Source organism: Homo sapiens, chromosome 14, assembly GCF_000001405.40.
Source record: "Homo sapiens chromosome 14, GRCh38.p14 Primary Assembly".
Lineage (NCBI taxonomy): Eukaryota > Metazoa > Chordata > Mammalia > Primates > Hominidae > Homo > Homo sapiens.
In genome coordinates this window covers 85918471-85939084 of record NC_000014.9, presented here as the reverse complement: position 1 = coordinate 85939084, position 20614 = coordinate 85918471, and the positions used below count along the sequence as shown (strand labels likewise).

The 20614-nt window shown below is 38.8% G+C and overlaps 1 long non-coding RNA gene across 1 annotated transcript in view, besides 2 other annotated features; it reads right to left on the bottom strand.

Annotated features, from left to right (window-relative positions):
• LINC02328 (long intergenic non-protein coding RNA 2328) overlaps positions 1 to 4407 on the bottom strand; it is a 195101-nt gene extending 190694 nt beyond the window's left edge. Inside the window, exon 1 of the long non-coding RNA NR_110155.1 lies at positions 4224 to 4407. This is a non-coding gene — a long non-coding RNA (long intergenic non-protein coding RNA 2328). The remainder of the gene's footprint in view (positions 1 to 4223) is intronic.
• Positions 4293 to 4502: an enhancer, noted in NCBI's record as "active region_8832". NCBI's record gives its function as "activates an Ori minimal core promoter by ATAC-STARR-seq in GM12878 lymphoblastoid cells {active_cell/tissue: GM12878}" and the evidence as "EXISTENCE:reporter gene assay evidence [ECO:0000049][PMID:35858748]".
• Positions 4873 to 4922: an enhancer, noted in NCBI's record as "active region_8831". NCBI's record gives its function as "activates an Ori minimal core promoter by ATAC-STARR-seq in GM12878 lymphoblastoid cells {active_cell/tissue: GM12878}" and the evidence as "EXISTENCE:reporter gene assay evidence [ECO:0000049][PMID:35858748]".

The following is a 20614-nucleotide window of genomic DNA, read 5'->3' as shown; positions in this document are numbered from 1 at the left end:
AGAAAATGACAACCCAAAATATGGCAGTTTGGCATGCTGAGTGCTTTGAAAAAAAAAATGTTGAAAGGCCTCAGAAATAAGCCTCAGGACCATGGCCTCTCTTTAATCTCTGCCCCCCCTTACCCCTTCCTTTATTGAAGCCTCAGGAAAACCCTTCTCTCAAGTTCCCTTATCTGATTAAAAAAGTTCCTCCAGAAGTCATGAAATTGTCTTAAAACACACTTCCTAGAAATTTCAACAGAAAACAGGGAAAGATTAACCACTGGAGAAGAGACTAGATCTGAAGTCATCACCACGCTCAGAGAGATTTTTCATCTAGACTTCTGAGGGAAGCTCCAAGAGATTACCAGGGACACTATCTGCATAATAAGACAAATTTTGTTCATGGTGAACATCTCATCACCTTCTCATAACTTGCCACCACCTCGCCCAGATCTCAAAAGAACTTTGTCTTTTTTTAGGCTAATTCATTTCTCTAAACATCATTGCCTATACTCTAAATTGCCTGCACTCCCATCTCCCTCTCCCCTATGAAGAGTGTTATTTAAGCTGCAGCCATCTGGCCCTTCTTTGAGACTCATATTTTCCATGGCTCCCATGCTTCTGCACATTAATAGAGTTATATGACTTTCTTTTGTTAATCTATCTATTGTCAGTTTTTTTCAGCAGCAAATCCTCAGAGAGCAGAAGAGAAGCTTTCCTTTTGCCTCTATAGGAAAAATTAAAAGGCAGAAGATCCAGAATAACCAACACAATCCTGCAGGAACAGAGGAATAATGTTGAGGATTCACACTATCTTATTTTAAGACTTACTGTAAAGCTACAATGATTAAGACCACATAGCATTGACCTCACCTCACCAAAAAAAAACCACATAGATCAGTGGAACAAAACAGAGAGCCTATAAATAGGCCCAAACATATATTCAAATGAATTTATAACTTCCCATTGGGTTCATCTTGCCCACTGCCTAGACAGGGCCAATTTACCAAGACAGGGGAATTACAATAGAGAAAAAGTAATTCACGCAGAGCCAGCTGTGCAGGAGACCAGAGCTTTATTACTACTCAAATCAGTCTCCCTGAGCATTCAGGGATCAGATGTTTTAAGGACAACTTGGTAGGCGGGGGGAAGCCAGTGAGCCAAGAGTGCTGATTGGTCAGGAAGGGGATAAAATCATAGGGAATTGAAGCTGTCCTCTTGGGCCAAGTCAGTTCCTGGCTGGAGCCACAAGATCAGATGAGCCAGTTAATTGATCTGGGTGGTGCCAGCTGATCCATCAAGGGGAGGGTCTGCAAATTTATCTCAATCACTGATCTTAAGAGCAGATTAGGGTTTTTTTGTTTTTTTTTTTTTTTTTTTTTCTGAGACCAAGTCTCACTCTGTCGCCCAGGCTGGAGTGCAGTGGCACGATCTTGGCTCACCACAAGCTCCACCTCCTGGGTTCACACCATTCTCCTGTCTCAGCCTCCCGAGTAGCTGGGACTACAGGTGCCTGCCGCCACACCCGGCTAATTTTTTTTTTTTTTTGTATTTTTAGTAGAGATGGGGTTTCACCATGTTAGCCAGGGTGGTCTCGATCTCCTGACCTCATGATCCACCCGCCTGGCCTCCCAAAGTGCTGGGATTACAGGCATGAGCCACCGCACCCAGCCCATAATTTCTAATCTTGTGGCTAATTTGTTAGTCCTACAAAGGCAGTCTAGTCCCCAGGCAAGAAGGAGGTTTGTCTGGGGAAAGGGCTGTTATTGTTTTTGTTTTAAACTATAAACTAAGTTCCTCCCAAAGTTAGTTCAGCCTACACCGAGGAATGAACAAGGACAGCTTGGAGGTTAGAAGAAAATGGAGTTGGTTAGGTCAAATATCTTTCACTGTCTCAGTTATAATTTTGCAATGGTAGTTTCCATTTTTCCCAAAGATTCAAAGTCAAGTCGATGAAGCAAATGTTGACATTTTAAACAAATAGTGCTGAAACAATTGGATACTCAAATTAAAACAAAAAGAACCTAGCACATATTCTACAGCTTTCACAAAAATTAAGTTGAAATTGATCAAGTACCTAACTTTAAAATGAAAAACTATAAAACATCTAAAAGAAAAAGAAAAGAGAAAATCTATGGAATCTTAGATTTGTCGATGAGTTTTTAAATACAGCACCAAAAGCACAATACATGAAAAAAAAGTAAGACTTTATTAGAATTATAAACATCTGCTCTTTGAGAAATATTAAGAGAGTTAAAGGACAAGCCATAGAATGAGAAAAAAATATTTGTGAAACACATATCTGGTAAAAAAAAAAAAAAGATAGAAAAAATAAAAATAATACATCCAAAATATACAGAGTGATGCTTAAAACTCAAGAATAAAATACAACTCAATTAAAAAGTAAGCAAAAGTTCTAAACAGATACCACCATATATATGGCAAATAAGTACATGTAAAGATGCTCAACATTGGTTGTCATTAGGTATATAAAAATTAAAATAATAATGAGATAACATTGTACATGTATTAAGAGGGCTAAAAACCAAAATATGCTAATACTAAATACTGGTTAGGATGAGGAGCAACAAGAACTCTCATTCATCACCGGAGAAAATGCAGAATGGTACAACCACTCTGATGGATAACTTAGCAGTTTCTAACAAAGCTAAACATATTTTTACCTTGTAATCCAGCAGCTGGGTTCTTAGATATTTACCTAGATGATTTGAGAAATTTTAACTACAGAAAACTTTCACATGAATGTTTATAGAATTTTATAAAATTATCACCAAAAACTGAAAGCTATCAAGATGTTCTTCAACACAGAAATGAATAAACTCTGGTATATCCATACAATGAAATACTATTCAGAGATAGGAAAGAATGAGCTATCAAGCTGTACAAGGACATAGATGATTCTTAAATGTGTATTGCTAAATGAAAGAAGCCAGCATGAAAGGACTGCTGCATACTGCATGATTATATTACATTCTGGAAAAAGCAAACTTATAGAGAGGGTAAAGATATCATTTGAAAGCAGCCTGGGCAAGATGGCAAGACCCTGGCTCTACAAAAAAAATTAAAAATTAGCTGGGCATGGTGGTGCACACCTGTAGTCCCAGCTACTTGGGAGGCTGAGGCAGGAGGATCCTTTGAGCCCAGGAAGTAAAGGTGGCAGTGAGCCATATATATGGTGCCACTGCACTCCAGACTGGGAAACGAAGCAAGACCCTGTCTCTAAAAATGAAAAAATAAAGAAAATAAAGATATCAGTGGTTTCTAGAGGTTCACAGACACAGATTTGAGTAGGTGAAGCACAAGAGATTGCCTAGAGTGGTGAAACTATTCTGTATGATACTGCAATGGTGGATAGATGATATTATGCATTTATCAAAACCCATAAAAGTCTAGAGCACAAAAACTTAACCGTAATGTATGAAAATTTTTAAAAAATTATTTAGGAGGTTAGGAGATCCCAGATACAAGGTAAACTGTGACTATACAACCATCCAATCTTCAACAAGGCCAACAAAAACAAGCAACAAGGAAAGGACACTCTATTCAATAAATGGTGCTGGGATAACTGGTTAGTATGCAGAAGATTGAAACTGGATCCCTACCTTTCACCAGATACAAAAATTAACTGAGGATGAATTAAAGACTCAAATGTACGCTCTCAAACTATAAAAATCCTAGGAAATATCCTTCTCAACACTGGCCTTGGCAAAGAAAATTTGGCTAAGTCCCCAAAAACAATTGCAGCAAAAACAAAAATTGACAAGTGGGACCTAATTAAAGAGCTGCTGCACAGCAAAAGAAACTACCAATAGAGTAAACAGAAAACCTACAGAATGTGAGAAAATATTTGCAAACTATGCATCCAACAAATGCCTAATATCCAGAATCTGTAAGGAACTTACAACAAGCAAAAAACAGAATACATTAAAAAATGGGCAAAGGACATGTACAGACACTTCTTAAAAGAAGACATACAAGCGGCCAACGAACATGAAAGAATGCTTGTCATCACTAATCATCAGGGAAATGCAAATCAAAACCACAATGCTATATCATCTTAAACCAGTTACAATGGCTATTACTCTACAGTCAAAAAACAACATATGCTGGCGAGTCTAGAGAAAAAGGAACATTTATACACTGTTGGTGAGAATGAAAATTAGTTCAGCCACTATAAAAAGCAGTTTGGAGACTTTTCAGAGAACTTAAAACAGAGGTACCATTCAACTCAGCAGTCCCACTGAGACGAGAAGTCTTCTTCTGATGGAAGGTTTTTCTCAATGGAAGCGTTCGTGTCTCACGGGCTTCAAGGAATGAAGCTGTGGACCACAGCAGCGAGTGTTACAACTTGATTAGAGAAACGGGCGGACCCAAAGAGTGTGCGGCTGCAAGATTTGTTAAAGTGAAAGCAAAAGTAAAGTGAAAGCGAAAGTAAAGCTTCTGCGTGGTGGAAGGGGACCCAGAAGGGTTGCTGTTTCTGGCTTGGGTGTCTTATGCTTATATCGCCTTATGACCCCTCCCCTTTTCCTTTTTCTGTCCTATACAATTAGCTTATTTTCAACCCACTTGTGGGTTGATGGGCCTGATTGGTTAAAAACATCAGGCTGTAGCTAGACCTTAAACTCCCTATATGATTGGTTGAAGTTTCAATCCCTTAGCTTGCAGCTGTGACTCATTTTGGCTTAGGGGAAAGTCCCCTTTGATTGGTTGAAGTTTAAATCCCTTAGCTTGCAGCTGTGACTTATTTGGGTTTAGGGGATAGTCCCCTTAGGGAAGTCCCTATTGACCCAGGAAGTCCAGCCAACTTAGCCACTTAGTCCCTCACCATTACTGGGTATATAACGAAAGGAATTTAGGTCATCATACTGGAAAAAACACATGCTATTGTATGTACATTGCCACACTACTCACAATAGCAAAGACATATGTGATGGTTAATACTGAGTGTCAATTTGACTGGATTGAAGGATACAAAGTATTGATCCTGGGTGTGTCTGTGAGGGTGTTCCCAAAGGAGATTAACATTTGAGTTAGTGGGCTGGGAAAGGCAGACCCACCCTTAATCTGGGTGGCACAATCTAATCAGCTGCCAGGTGGCTAGAATATAAGCAGGCAGAAAAATGGAAAAGAGAGACTGGCCTAGTCTCCCAGCCTACATCTTTCTCTTGTGCTGGATGCTTCCTGCCCTGGAACATCCGACTCCAAGTTCTTCAGTTTTGGAACTCAGACTGGCTCTTCTTACTCTTCAGCCTGCAGACAGCCTATTGTGGAACCTTGTGATTGTGTGAGTTAATACTTAATAAACTCCCCTTTATGTATATATGTGTGTTCCATTAGTTCTTTCCCTCTAGAGAACCCTGATACAGATGTTGGTACCAGAAGTGGTCTTCTAGAGGAACAGAATATTAAGGATGTAGTTCTTTCATTGGTTTTGGAATTTCTGGTGTTGGCTGCTTAATATTAGACGCCAAAAATGCTAAGAACTCTACTTCTAATAGCATGGAGAACACTGATAATCCTTGGCATGAACTGTTCGAGAAATATGCAAAATAAATGCATTTGACACTCCTGATTCATCGCTCCTGAGAGGCAAGGATTTTAGTGACTCTACATGTAATACCTTTGACCATATGTGGAGAACCAAGGAACATAATGAAGCTGGTTGGTTGCTCCTAAGTTCAGTGGAAAAAGTGATGAAAGAAAATAATGAACTCAGGGATTCTATCTCCCGGCCTCAGAAGCAGATACTGAGCCTCAAATCTGCTAAGACTGCCCTGAGTGAGAGTCTTATCTTCCTGTAGAGAAAGAGCTGAAATTGTGGAAAAACAGACACAAACCCTTATCATGTAGGCTGACCTGTAATGAAAGATGCATGCACAGCCTCACCAGGTGTCCACTGTTAAAGTGAGCGCTTTGATTAGAAAAGAATGGGGCCCTGCAACTTGGAATGGGGACGTGTGGGAGGACCCTAATGAAGCTGGGGACACTGAGTTTGTAAACTCTGATGAAACTTTTCGGCCAGAGGAAACAGCTTCCCCATCCCCAGTAGAGACAATATCCCCTCCCTGACCCACACTGCCATCAGCCTTTCCACCTTTGTCTGAGGAGATAAACCCTGTGCTGCCTGAGGCAACAGTGATGGCCTCCCTTGAGGCAGTTTCCAGGCAAGGTAAAGTTGATTATCTTCAGGAGCCACCTCCAACACCCCTGTTTCCTTCTAGACCTATAACTAGACTAAAGTCCAGGCGAGCCTCTAGAGGTGAGGTTGAGAGTGTGACCCATGAGATGTTCTACACCCAAAAAGAATTGCTTGAGTTTAAACAGAAATCTGGAGAACAGGCATGGGAATGGATATTAAGGGTGTGGGATAATGGTTGAAGGAACATAGAGTTGGATCAGGCTGAATTTATTGATTTGGGCCCACTAAGTAGGGATTGTTCATTTAATGTTTCAGCTGGGGGAGTTAAAAAAGGTTCTAATAGTTTATTTGCTTGTTTAGCTAAAATATAGATTAAAAGATGGCCTACTACGAGTGAGCTAGAAATGCCTGATCTCCTTTGGTTTAATGTAGAGGAAGGGATCCAAAGGCTTAGGAAGATTGGGATGGTACAGTGGATTATTCACTTTAGACCTACTCATCCCAGCTGGCAGGGTCCAGAAGATATACCCTTGATCAATGCCTTGGGAAATAGATTTGTGAGGGCAGCACCTACATCTTTGAAGAGACCTGTAATTGCCCTTCTCTGTATGTCAGATCTAACAGTGGGAACCGTAGTCACTCAATACAAAATTTAAATACAATGGGAATAATTGGATCCCGAGGTGGCAGGGACCAAGTGGTGGCACTCAACCATCAAAGGCAAGGTGGGCATAGCTACTGTAATGGACAGCAGAGGCAAAGTGACGATCAGAACAGTCTGATTTGTGTAGAGCTCTGGCATTGGCTAATTAATAATGGTGTTCCTAGAAGTGAAATTAATAGGAAGCCTACTGCATTTTTGCTTAATTTATACAAGCAGAAAACTTCTAGGTCGAATGGACAAAAGACTAATTTGAATTATAAAAACAGAGAATCATGGCCCCTCAATCAATTTCCAGTCTTGAGCCAGTTTACAGACCCAGAACCCCTTAAATGAAGATGAGGCCAGGTCCCCTTGAGAAAGAACCCCACTACATTACTTACAATTTATGCTGTGAATCTTTCTCCCATCCTTCCCCAAAGAGACATCTGGCCTTTTACCAGGGTAATTGTGCATTGGGGAAAGGGAAATGATCAGACATTTTGGGGACTACTGTACACTGGCCTGAGCTGACGTTGATTCCAGGGAACCCAAAACGTCATTGTGGTCCTCCAGTTAAAGTAGGGGCTTACGGATGTCAGGTAATTAATGGGGTTTTAGCTCAGGTCCAATTTATGGTGGGTCTAGCGGGTCCCTGGACTCATCCTGTGGTCATTTCCCCAATGCCAGAATGCATAATTGGCATAGATACACTTAGCAGCTGGAAAAACCCCCCACATTGGCTCCCTGACAGGTAGGATGAAGCCTATTAGGATAGAAAAAGGCCAAATGGAAGCCATTACAGCTGCCTCTACCTAGAAAAATAGTAAATCAAAAGCAATATCGCATCTCTGGAGGGATTGCAGAGATTAGTACCACCATCAAAGACATAAAAGATGCAGGGATGGTGATTTCCACCACATCCCTGTTCAACTCTTATTTGACCTGTGCAGAAGACAGATAGATCTTGGAGAATGACAGTGGATTAGTGGATTTCCGTAAGCTTAACCTAGTGGTGACTTCAATTGCACCTTCTGTACCAGATGTGGTTTCATTGCTTGAGCAAATTAACACATCTCCTGGTACTTTGTATGCAGCCACTGACTTGGCAAATGCCTTTTTCTCCATTCTTGTCCATAAGGCCCACCAGAAGCAATTTGCCTTCAGCTGGCAGGGCCAGTAATATACCTTTACTGCCCTACCTCAGGGGTATATCAACTCTCTGGCTTTGTGTCATGATGTTATTTGGAGAGAACTTGCTTCCACAAGATATCACTGGTCCATTAAATTGATGACTTTATGTTGCTTGTATCCAGTGGGCAAGAAGTAGCAAACACACTGGACTTATTGGTGAGACATTTGTGTGCCAGAAGATGGGAAATAAATTCGACTAAATGTCAGGGACCTTCTACGTCAGAAAAATTTCTAGGGGTCCAGTCATGTGGGGCCTGTCGAGACATTCCTTCTAAAGTGAAGGACAAGTTGCTGCATCCTCCTACAACCAAGAAAGAGGCACGACACCTAGTGGGCCTATTTGAATTTTGGAGGCAACACATTCCTCATTTGGGTATATTACCCCAGCCCATTTATTGAGTGACCCAAAAGGCTGGCAGTTTTGAGTGAGGTCCGGAACAGGAGAATGTTCTGCAGCAGGTCCAGGCTGCTATGCAAGCTGCTCTGCCACTTGGGCCATATGACACAACAGGTCCAATGATAGGTTTAGTGGCAGACAGCGATGCTTTTTAGAGTCTTTGGCAGGCCCCCATAGGTAAATCACAGAGGAGGCCTCTAGGATTTTGGAGCAAGGCCCTGCCATCTTATGCAGATAACTACCCTCCTTTTGAGAGACAGCAAGCAGCTCTTGGCCTGTTACTGGGCTTTGGTGGAAACTGAATGTTTAACTATGGGTCATCAAGTCACCATGTGACCTGAACTACCTATAATAACTGGGTGCTTCCTGACCCATCTAGCCATAAAGTGGGTCATGCACAGCAGCATTCCATCATCAAATGGAAGTGGTGTATACGTGATCAGGCTCGAGAAGGTCCTGAAGGCACAAGTAAGTTACATGAGGAATTGGCTCAAATACCCATGGTCTCCACCTCTGCCAGCCTGCCTTCTCTCCCCCAACCTGAACCAACGGCCTCATAGGGAGTTCCCTATGATCAGTCGACAGAGGAAGAGAAGACTAGGGCCTGGTTCGCAGATGGTTTTGCACGATATGCAGGCACCACCTGAAAATGGACAGCTGCAGCACTACAGCGACTTTCTAGGACATCCCTGAAGGACAGCAGTGAAAGGAAATCTTCCCAGTGGGCAGAACTTTGAACAGTGCTCCTGGTTGTGCATTTTTGCACGCAATGAGAAATGGCCAGATGTGCAATTATGCACTGATTCATGGCCTGTAGCCAGTGGTTTGGCTGGATAGTCAGGGACTTAGAAGAAATATGATTGGAAAATTGGTGACAAAGAAATTTGGGGAAGAGGTATGTGGATGGGCCTCTCTGAGTGATCAAAAGCTGCAAAGATATTTGTATCCCATGTGAGTGCTCACCAGTGGGTGGCCTCAGCAGAGGAGGATTTTAATATTCAAGTGGTTATGATAACCCATTCTGTGGACGCCACTCAGCCTCTTTCTCCAGCCACCCCTGTCATCGCCCAGTGGGCCCATGAACAAAGTGGACATGGTTGGAGGGATGGAGGTTACGCATGGGCTCACCAACATGGACTTCTGCTTAGCAAGGCTGACCTGACTACGGCCACTGCCAATTGCCATCCGTGGACTCATAGAATGCTTTATCCACTGTCATGATATTCCACACAGCATTGCCTCTGACCCAGGCACTCACTTTACAGCTGAAGAAGTGCAGCAGTGGGCCCATGCTCAAGGAATTCACTGGTCTTACATGTTCCCCACCATCCTGAAGCAGCTGGATTGATAGAACGGTGCAATGGCCTTTTGTAGTCACAATAATGATGCCAACTAGGTGACAATACTTGCAGGGCTGGGGTGAAGTTTTACAGAAGGCCATGAATGCTCTGAATCAGCATCCAATATATGGTACTATTTCTCCCATAGCCAGGATTGAAGGGGCGAGGAATCAAGGGGTTGAAAGTAGAAGTGTAACCACTCACCATCACCCCTATTGATCCACTAGCCAAACTTTTGCTTCCCTTTCCCATGACATTATCTTCTGCTGTCCTAGAGGTCTTAGTTCCAGAAGGAGGAACACTGACATCAGGAGACAAAACAATGGTCCTATTAAACTGGAAGTTCAGATTGCCACCTGGAAACTTTGAGCTCCTCCTACCTTTAAGTCAACAGGCTAAGAAGGGTGTTACAGTGTTGGCTGCTGCGATTGACCCACACTATCAAAATGAAATCAGTCTACTTCTCCACAGTGGAGGTAAGGAAGAGTATGCATGGAATACAGGAGATCCATTAGGATGTCTCTTAGTGCCCTGTGATTAATGTTAATAGGAAACTACAACAGTCAATACAGGCAGGACTAGAGAAGACCCAGACCCTTCAGGAATGAAGGTTTGGGTTACTCCACTAGGAAAAATACCATGACTTGCTGAGGTGCTTGCTGAAGGCAAAGGGAATGCGGAACGGGTAGTAGAAGAAGGTAGTCAACAATACCAGCTACGACCATGTGACCAACTGCAGAAACAAGGACTGTGATTGTCATGAGTATTTCCTCCTTCTTTTGTGTAAAAACATGTTCGTGCATGTATACATGTAAGAAAATATCTTCATCTTATTTCCTTTCTCCTTTATCATGTGACATAAGGTTTACTGACTTCTCATCAGCATTTAAGTATTGTTAACTTTATGTAATAGTATTTATGTAACTTTTTGTAATAGTATTTATATAACTTTATGTAATAGAGTTGGGGATTGGTGCATTTCTGATTGTACAAAGGATAGTTGTATTATGTTAGGTGTAATTATGACTTTATTATTGTCTTTATTTGAAATTATGATCTCAGGAGATGTGTATGGGTTCAAGTTGACAAGGGGTAGACTTGTGATGGTTAATACTGTCAAGTTGATTGGATTGAAGGATACAAAGTAATTGATCCTGGGTGTGTCTGGGAGGGTGTTGCCAAAGGATATTAACATTTGAGTCAGTGGGCTGGGAAAGGGAGACCCATCCTTAATCTGAGTGGGCACAATCTAATTAGCTGCCAGGGTGGCTAGAATATAAGCAGGCAGAAAAATGTGAGAAGAGAGACCCGCCTAGCCTCCCAGCCTGCATCTTTCTTTTGTGCTGGATGCTTCCTGCCCTCAAATATCCAACTCCATGTTCTTCAGTTTTGGAACTTGGACTGGCTCTTCTTTCTCCTCAGCCTACAGATGATCTATTGTGGCCCTTGTGATCGTGTGAGTTAATACTTAATAAATAAATATATATATATATATATATATTCCATTAATTCTGTCCCTCTAGAGAACCCTGACTAATACAACATAGGATAAACCTAACTATTCATCAATGGTGGATTGAAAAAAGAGAATGTGGTAATTATATGCCATAAAATACTATGCAGCCATAGAAAAGAATGAAATCATGTCCTTTGCAGCAACATGGATGGAGCTGGAGGCCATAATCCTAAGCAAACTAAAAAAGGAACAGGAAACCAAATATGGCCTGCTTTCACTTATAAGTCGGAGCTAAATATTGAGCACACATGGAGTAAAACGTGGGCTACTAGAAGAGAAAGGCAGGGAGGGGGCATGGATTTATATATTGGGTACTATGCTCACTACCTGAGTTCAGTATACCCATACAACAAATTTGCACATGTACCCCTGAATGTAAAATAAAAGTTGAGATTTTTAAAAGATAAATTAAAATGAAAAATTTAAAAGAAAGGAATGTAAACTGTGACAAAGAAATCTAAGTGTACTACAAGGCATGAAATAATATCACTGAAAAGATTGAGAGATTAAGGTATTAATCTAAGACTGGAAATGAATGGATTCTGTAATATTAAAGGCAAAAGGCATTGTGCATACGACTATTATTTAGTTAATGAAGTTCTTTGTCATAAGTGTAGGAGTTAACAATTATGACTATATATGTGTATTAGAACTGAACACTTAAGTGAAAGAATAGCAGATGGTAAGAGCCAGTTTTCTCACTGTTGGGGTGGTAACTTACAGATAAGCAAAGAAAGAGGGCAAAAATAACCTATGTGGCAATAGATTAGAGGTAGAGATAGTATGCACTCATGTTTAATGTATATGCAGAAGTTTATATATAACAATATTTATAGATATACATACCTACAGGAGTTAGTACACACACGTATATTTCCTTATTTTGTTAGTTGAAAGAGCCTAGAAACAATGACTCCTCAGTAGCACTGAACAACTTAGGACCAAAATCTTGCTTTTTAATAAAATTTTTCAACAAAAAATCTGCTCCTTGAAGAAATGACTGATTCTATAACTGGGACATGAAATATACAAGATAATCCTGGAATATCTTGTAGTGCCAGGAAGTATAGAAGTGCTCAAAAAAAAGGCAATAATATGAATATATCAAAGGAAATCACTGGGAGAGGACCATGGCCAAAAATACAACAATTTAAGAAGCTAAGCCAAGTATAATGTTAATACCAAACATATTAAATAAATATCCATGAGCCCATGTTGATTAAAAAAATGAATTTAAAAATGAAGAGAATAAATAAATTTCATGTGCAGAAAAATTCCAGAAAACTTATATAGCTTCTCTGCTCTCAAGCGTATGGAGCATAACTCCCCAATCCTTATGTACAATGACGTGTCTGCATCTAAGAGTACAACATGGAAAGCGGGGTGAAAGTGGAATAGTGGGGTCAGTAAATGAACAGTGAAGAAACTTGACAAATACTACCATATCCAGATGCTCAAGGTGACTTCATTCATGGTAACTTGGTGATGGTATGTTGTTTTGAGAATGGAGCTTTTCCTCTGTGGCCTTCTACACCAATAATTCTAGTCTAATCAAGAGGAAAATTCCAATTAATTTTTTTTAGTGAACAGTGAACATCCACTGTTCAGCCCAACTGAACATCCACATGGAAAAGAACAAAGTTGAACCCTAACCTCACACCATATACAAAAATTAACTCAAAATGGATCAGTGATCTAACTGTGGGCACTAAAACTCGAAAACTCTTAGAAAACAACGTCGTTGTAGATCTTTGTGACCTTGGGTTAGGCAGTTTTTTAGATATGACACCTAGCCCAAGCAACCAAAAAAATATATAAATTGGACTGTAGCTAAATTAAAACTTTGTGTACTTAAAAAGACACTATCAAGGAGTAAAAAGACAACCCACACAATGTAAGAAAATATTTGTAAACCATGTATCTGATAAGGGTCTAGTGTCCAGAATATATTAAGAACTCTTACCAAAAATAAAAAGACAAATCAATCCAATATAAAAATGGCCAAAGATTTTGAATAGATATTTGTCCCGAAGAGATATACAAATGGACAATGAACAATAAAAGTTGTTCAACATCATCAGCTATTTGGAAAACCACAATAAGATACTACTTCATACTCACTAGAAGGACCAAGTTTAAAAAGGTAGACTATGTTGCCAAGTGTTGATAAGGATGTGAAAAAATCGGGACCTTTATAACTTGCTGATGGAAATGTTAAGAGGCGCAGCCCTATAGAAGACAATAGGCAGTTCCTCAAAAAGTTAAAAGTAGAGATACATATACTCCAGCAATTCTACTCCAAGGCACATAGCTAAGAGAATAAAAACATGTTCACTTAAAAATTTGTACTCAAATGTTCATAGCATTATTTGTAATAGTCCCCAAATCAACACAATCCAAATGTCCATCAACTGATCAGTGGAAAAATAAAATCTGATATATTTATACAATTGAATATAATTTGGCCATAAAAAAAGAATGAAGTGCAGATGCATGCTAGAAGCCAGAAAAAAAAGATCACATATTGTGTAACTCTACTTTCATGAATTGCTCATAATAGACAAATCTGTAGGGATAGAAAATCTATCAGTGGTTTCCAGGGACTTAATGAATGAAGGAATGTGTATGGAATTTCATTTTGGCATGATAAAAACATTCTGGAATTAGATACAAGTGATAGATGCACAACCTGGTGAATATATTAAAATCTATTGAATTGCATTCTTTAAAATTGTGAATTTTATAGTATGCTAATTATGTCTTGATTTTAAAAAGAAAAAAATTGAGGACTATTCTGGCCTATATTTCTCAGCAGTACCTGACCAATGTTATGTAAAGCTATGACGGTAATGAGAAATAAAGAAAGACTGAGAAACCATCACAGTGGAGAGGTGATAGGTAAGGAAACATGGTAGCTAAACGTAATGTGTGTTCTAATAAGATCCAGGAACAGGACAAAAAATAAAACACAATTAAAAACTAAAGAAATCTGATTTATGGACTTAGGCTAATAATAATGTAGCAACATTAGTTCTTTACCAATATACAAATGTACCATAGTCATGTAAGATGTTAGTAATAGGGGAAACAATATGAGGTAGATGGGATTCTCTGCACTATTTAGATTGGTGCAAAAGTAATCGCAGTTTTCGCCAGCTCAATTTTTCTGTAAGTCTAAAACTGTCCTAAAATAAAAATTTTATTAAAAGAAAATCAGTTAAGAAGTCCTAGTAATACTCTCCATTATAAAGATAAGGGAATGGAAGCTCAAATGACTTGCCTAAGATCATAGCCTGTAAGTGGCAAAGCTGTTATTTGAACCCAGGCAGTCTGGCTCTAGTTTGTGCTTTTGATCATTGTGCAGTGGTTTGCTGATCCATTCTACACCCTCTTCAACCTTTTTTATGTCTCTGAAGGCTGACTTGCCCTGTTTCAAGATTCATTTGATGAATGTGGAGCACTAGCAGAGGATGGGAGTGTGTAAAGAGAGGAATGCAGTTATTCCCTCCTGTCATCTCTCCCTACAGGGTCATCTTAGGCTACCTGCATCCCTGCTCTATCAACCAAAGGTCCCAGCTCCTGTCTGGTGGCTTTTCTATGCAGTTTCTTCAGGTTCCAGTGTTTCTCTCCCTAGCCCTCTGGCTAAGTAGGGTCCAAGTATTGTGATATCCTTTGTGGTTTCCTTACTTTTTATTTGTATCATTGCAAAAGGTAGTGCACACATTACATTTTTATCACAATACTCAATTTGAATAGACCATCTTTTTCTGGCCAGGTTCCTTCCTTATACCACCATTATATCAATCCTGAACTTGTAAAAATATTCCATGAGTTAACATTGTAAAGTAGGAGAATTTCTCTTCAGCGCCCTCTCACTTATACCTCTCCTCTTCCACATATTGTTAATTCTTTTTTGAGGAAAGACAGTATGCACTCAATTCTGTAGCCTCATTGCAGAATGTAGTATATCACATAGCAAATTTTTAATACATACTTGTTTGAATGAATGAATGAATGAATGAATTTTTTCTCCCCCTCTTCAGCTCTGTTTTTCCATAATGAAACAAAGTACCTCTGTTAACAGATGTTTGATGGCTCAAGAATATAACTCAGTTTGGTTCTATCTTTGTGTTTCTACATATACACAGCTGTATCCTGATAAGTAGTGATAGGCAAAGTCATAAACATTATCACTGTATTTAGATTTTATGGATTATTTGTGATTGTAATTGTAATAAATAGTAGCCTAAAAATAAAAATATAAACCAGAAACTTTATGAAGTTATTCTGCAAACAAAAAGAAAGACAGAAGGACAGATAAAATGAAAGGAAAGGTAAAAAACAAAACAAAATCAAAACAAAACAAATAAACAAACCACCGGAAGCCTTAGGCAATAAGACAATCTATGCAAACCATGAGATTGGGTAGCTTTGATGTCTTCCTTGATAATAGGCCTGGTACCCAACAAAACACCAGTAGGGCCATCAATTGAATTCTCATTAATCTGCTTTCTCATTTTCCCTCTGATATTGGAATATCTGTAACAGTTTAAAGATGGAAATGAGTGTACAGATCATTGACTAATCTCGAAGGGGTTGCTGTGAAAACAGAATATTTGTAGAGTATTATAGAAATAGTGCATCAGATCAGACCAATAATAGAAACAAAAAGGATTATGGGCAGATTTTAGGCTGGGGTATATCCAGATTTTGTCCAGTCATTAAAATATTATGAGGTAATGCATATTAGTCCTTAGTCTATATTTGATAAAGGTTCTTGCAATCTTACTTCAGGTAAATATTTCACTTCCCTAAATAAAAAAGAAATCAAATCAAAAGATGTAACTAAGGTACTGTAGGCCAGGTTAAAGTAGGTATCACTAAAAGAATACTTCCTCAAAAATCTTAAATGATTAAAATCTCAAAAAAAAGGAACAGTATGTCTTTCCTCAAGTAGTCATTTTAATTCAGAAAGCCAGTGATGTTTCTAGAGAGAAAAGTTCTAGAAAGATCTCTAATGGAGTTCTCTTTGGAGTACAAGAAGTATTTTCTAAAACCTATGTTTAAGATACAGAATATCTTGAGCCAATATTTAGAGCCACTGCATCTACCTATATCTGTCAAGCTGTCTGTCTGTCTGCCTAACTACCTATCTACCTACCTACCAAATCTATCTATGGGTAGATAGACTGAAGAGTCAATGCATTTTGATCAATTAAAAATGGAATAAAGTTGGAAATAAGAGTAGAAAATTTTGAAGGTGGCTCCCCAGTGATGTAACTCTATAAAGGAGGCTGTATTATATTAATAGAATTAAATTAACTCATTTTATCCTCACTTCCATGACTATTACAGACTTTATCAGTAGCTTCTTATAAAAAGTTAAGTTGTCAATGGAATATATATATATATGCACACATATATATTACATTGACAGTATATATATATATACACACACACACACACACACACAAGAATGAGCTCCCAAAGTGAAAATTATTTCTTATTCAGAATTAAGAAAAATATGTATACATATATATGAGTTAGTTGACTTATTAAATCTCTGTGTAATCCATCAAATCTTTGTGAATTGTAGAGAAAGTCCTGCTAAGTCTTTTGATATTTCTCAGGAGATATAGAAAAATATATTTTAAAAAACAAAATGAAACCAAACAACAGTAATCATATCAAATAAATCACATAAAAGTAGACTTTCTATAGAACAAATTTATTCTTTCTTAGTGTAAAATTATTTTTTTAAATGTTTGTGCTTTCCACATTATCTAAAATATGTCAGAACGATGGCTCAAAAAGGGCACAGAAACAGTTGATTTCAGCCGTATCAATTTCCACAGCAGTTTGAAAAGGGCATTGCACATATTTTGATGTAATCTGTCTTCACCAACATGCTGGATAAGTTTAGACATCACTTGGTATTGTATTGTTTTGTTTTGTTTTTCAAAAACATGTAATTTTTGGTAATATTCACTTTATGTACTTTCTCAAAAATTTGTGAATAGAACACTCAAAAATAAAAGACCCTGTTTTATTCTCATTTCCCTAACTGCTAAAGACCAGATTAGTATTTTACCTATATATAGAAAATTAGGCTGCAAATGAAATGTTAAAATGTCTCCACCTAGCTGAGTTAATTTGAGCCTGCCAATATATACACAGCTCCCTTTGTCCAGTCATAGTATGGGGAAGCCACCGTCAGAACCCCCAGTTTTTATTTCCAATGTTTTCTTTTTCGTTTTTAATCCAACAAAATGAACTGACAATTTAGCCTAACCACTTCCATTACCTTCAGAGAATGGCTAATGTTCTAGGAAAGGAACTTGACAATCTCCCTGACAGCATTTCTTTGTCAATCCATTAATTTCACCCTCAGAATATGCTAGTTATCTGTTAGTATTCCAGGCCAGCAGCAGCTGCATGGGAAAAAGAACTCCAGATAAGCAAGCTATTGTGTATTCTGCTGTGCACTTTCTCTTCCCATCGGAGTCCAGGGGGAACGCTGACCAGAGAGCCACTTTGCTTGGTATGTGGCTTCATTAGGGACATCTAAAGCAAATCAAAATTACCCTCTGCTGATGGTAGCTTCAGACATCCTCTGGCTCATGAAAATTGCTGAAGATTTTCCAAAGCAGGCTGAACAAATTCGTTTTCATGAAAATCGGCCTTGAATACAGGATTGATCCAGGTGACCTTTGAAGTCCTTGTTAAGCCTGAAATTCTGGGGTTCTGGGACCCACTTAAAGTTTTACTATAGAAAATGAGTATAGTATAGTTTCATATCCTGTCTCCTACTCATTAGGAATCTGTGATAGTAGCAATGAGAAGAGAAGAGTACATCCAGAGTTTTGAGGTGAAGTGAAAGAAAGTCATTAAGGCAGACACTTTTGGTTTTCTAATTCGACTGATACCACAGACTTTTTTCACTAGCGAACTAGTGTTGGACAATTCACACGTATCCAACCAAATTGATGTTGTCTTTGGGAACCATATATCTCTCATAATAAAAAGGTAAGGCTTCCCTCTGAGAGAATTAATTCCTTTATTTCCTACCTGAACCACAACCACCATCTTGAAACCATGTGGGGAAAAGCTACCAGATTGAGACAGAAAAATAGAAAGAAGCAGAGTCCATGAGAACATCTCGAAGCAGCCATCCTGCCTATTGAGTGGCTCCCTCCGGATATCTTGGTCTATGAAATAAACAAGCCTGTGTGATTTTAAACCACTATGGTTGTGTTTTCTGCCATTTTTACCCAAAAGCTCTGAAACTAATACATTCATTAAGGTATAATATGTGGATAAAAGTCTCTAGTCAAGGAGATGACAAATCTGCAAAAGGTGAAATTAAGAACTGACTTTTTTTTTTTTTTTTTTTGAGACGGAGTCTCACTCTGTCACCCAGGCTGGAGTGCAGTGGCGCCATCTCGGCTCACTGCAAGCTCCGCCTCCCAGGTTCACGCCATTCTCCTGCCTCAGCCTCCCGAGTAGCTGGGACTACAGGTGCCCGCCGCCACGCCTGGCAAATTTTTTGTATTTTCTTTTTTAGAAGAGACGGGGTTTCACCATCTTAGCCAGGATGGTCTCGATCTCCTGACCTCGTGATCCGCCCGCCTCAGCCTCCCAAAGTGCTGAGATTACAGGCATGAGCCACCACGCCCGGCCATAAACTGACTTTCAAGCAATCATGTGAGAGTCTGATGGCAAAGCCACACAAGAGAAACAAGGAAAGTAAATGATAGGTCTCCATGAAAGTGGTTAGTGTTCTGCTTTTGGGGAGCCCCAAGCCACACCTCTCCATCTGTTTTCTACGGCCAAAATGCTTCTTTAAGACTTAAAGTCAAAGTTTGGGTAACCATCTTCTAACAAAGTAGACTAAGGATTTAGAGACAGAATTTCAAGATTTTATATTCCATCTCAAGGTCATGAATTCATTACATCAAACACAAAAAGCACTCATGTCTTTAGATTGCAAAAGGCATGAAAATTAAAGTTGTGTTACTCCATTTTGAGGAATAAAGGATGAATCCAGCACCAAGAGAAAATTATGAGCTCTGTCATTAAAATTTTAATCTCTTTTTAGAGTAATAAATGTTAGGAAGAGGTAACTGGCAAATTTTCTTTAGAATTAAGGTAATTATCTCAAAAATTTTTAAATTATGTTACATTTTGCCTTTTCTGATTAGAAAAGCTTGTGGTGAGATAAAGCATAATGAGAATTCTAAACTTGAAGAAGGCCAAATCTAAATCATGATCATATCACTTAGTTATGTTACTTTGGGTATAACTCTTTGATCTTCAGTTTGCCCATTGGTAAAAGGAAACAACATTCCCCCCTACCACTGTAAGAATGAAATCCACTAATCTGTTGAATAAATGTTTGTTAATTTCCAACTATGTATCAGACGTTTTGCTACGCTTTGGGATCACGGAGTTATAGAACTGGACATAATCTCATTCTTAGAGAATCTCTCCTGGAATAAATATGTAACCAAACTTGAATACATTGTGATGAAAAATATTTTGGGGAAACAAATTGGGGGTTGAAGGGAGCAACCTAATCCACAGGACAAAGAGATTACAAAAATGAAATGACATTGTAAAGTGTAAAATATTATTTAATCTATATGTAATATTGCTTTGAGCTATCCTTATTGGTTTGACAACTATAATAAAAATCTATTGTGTACATATATGTTCTGTCTGGGTATTGATTACTGTATGTCTGTAACCAGGATGTCAGACCAAGCTCCCAACCAAAATGATCTTCATCTCAAATCCCTCTTCCATACCCAATGGAAAGCCCAATCTGTCCAAGATATTTGTTATTTTTCTGATAGGCTTATATTCTCACTGTCACTTCTGTGACCAGCTTCTATTTCCAGCAGTGATCTTTTTGTATACCATATTGAAACAGACATAAAACTCAGCTAACTCTCCCTTCTCCTCAGGTTCTACCGCTAATACCAACAAAAATAAAAGACTCACATAACCACCTATGTCATTGGTAGATACCACTGAGGATCCAGGATAATGAGACAGGTCACATTTATACCAGACAGCAACTATTTAAAAAATTTCCATTAAATGTACCTCTCCTTTAATGTATTGAAAAATCTTACAAGTCCAGTCCCACCACTGAAGATCTATGAACTCACACAGCTCTTGCCTTCTGCCATGTTAACTCCTCCATCCTTCCGCTTTCTCTTCTCAAATTCATCCTATTCTTTAAGCTACTCTCAGGAGCATAAAGCAATTTCTTCTTATTTGTTCATTCAGAGGACCTTAGCAACCACTCCCCTAACCTAGGATGTGAACTTTGACCCCTGTACTTCTCAAGATATTTCAATAACCAAGTTCACTGCTCACA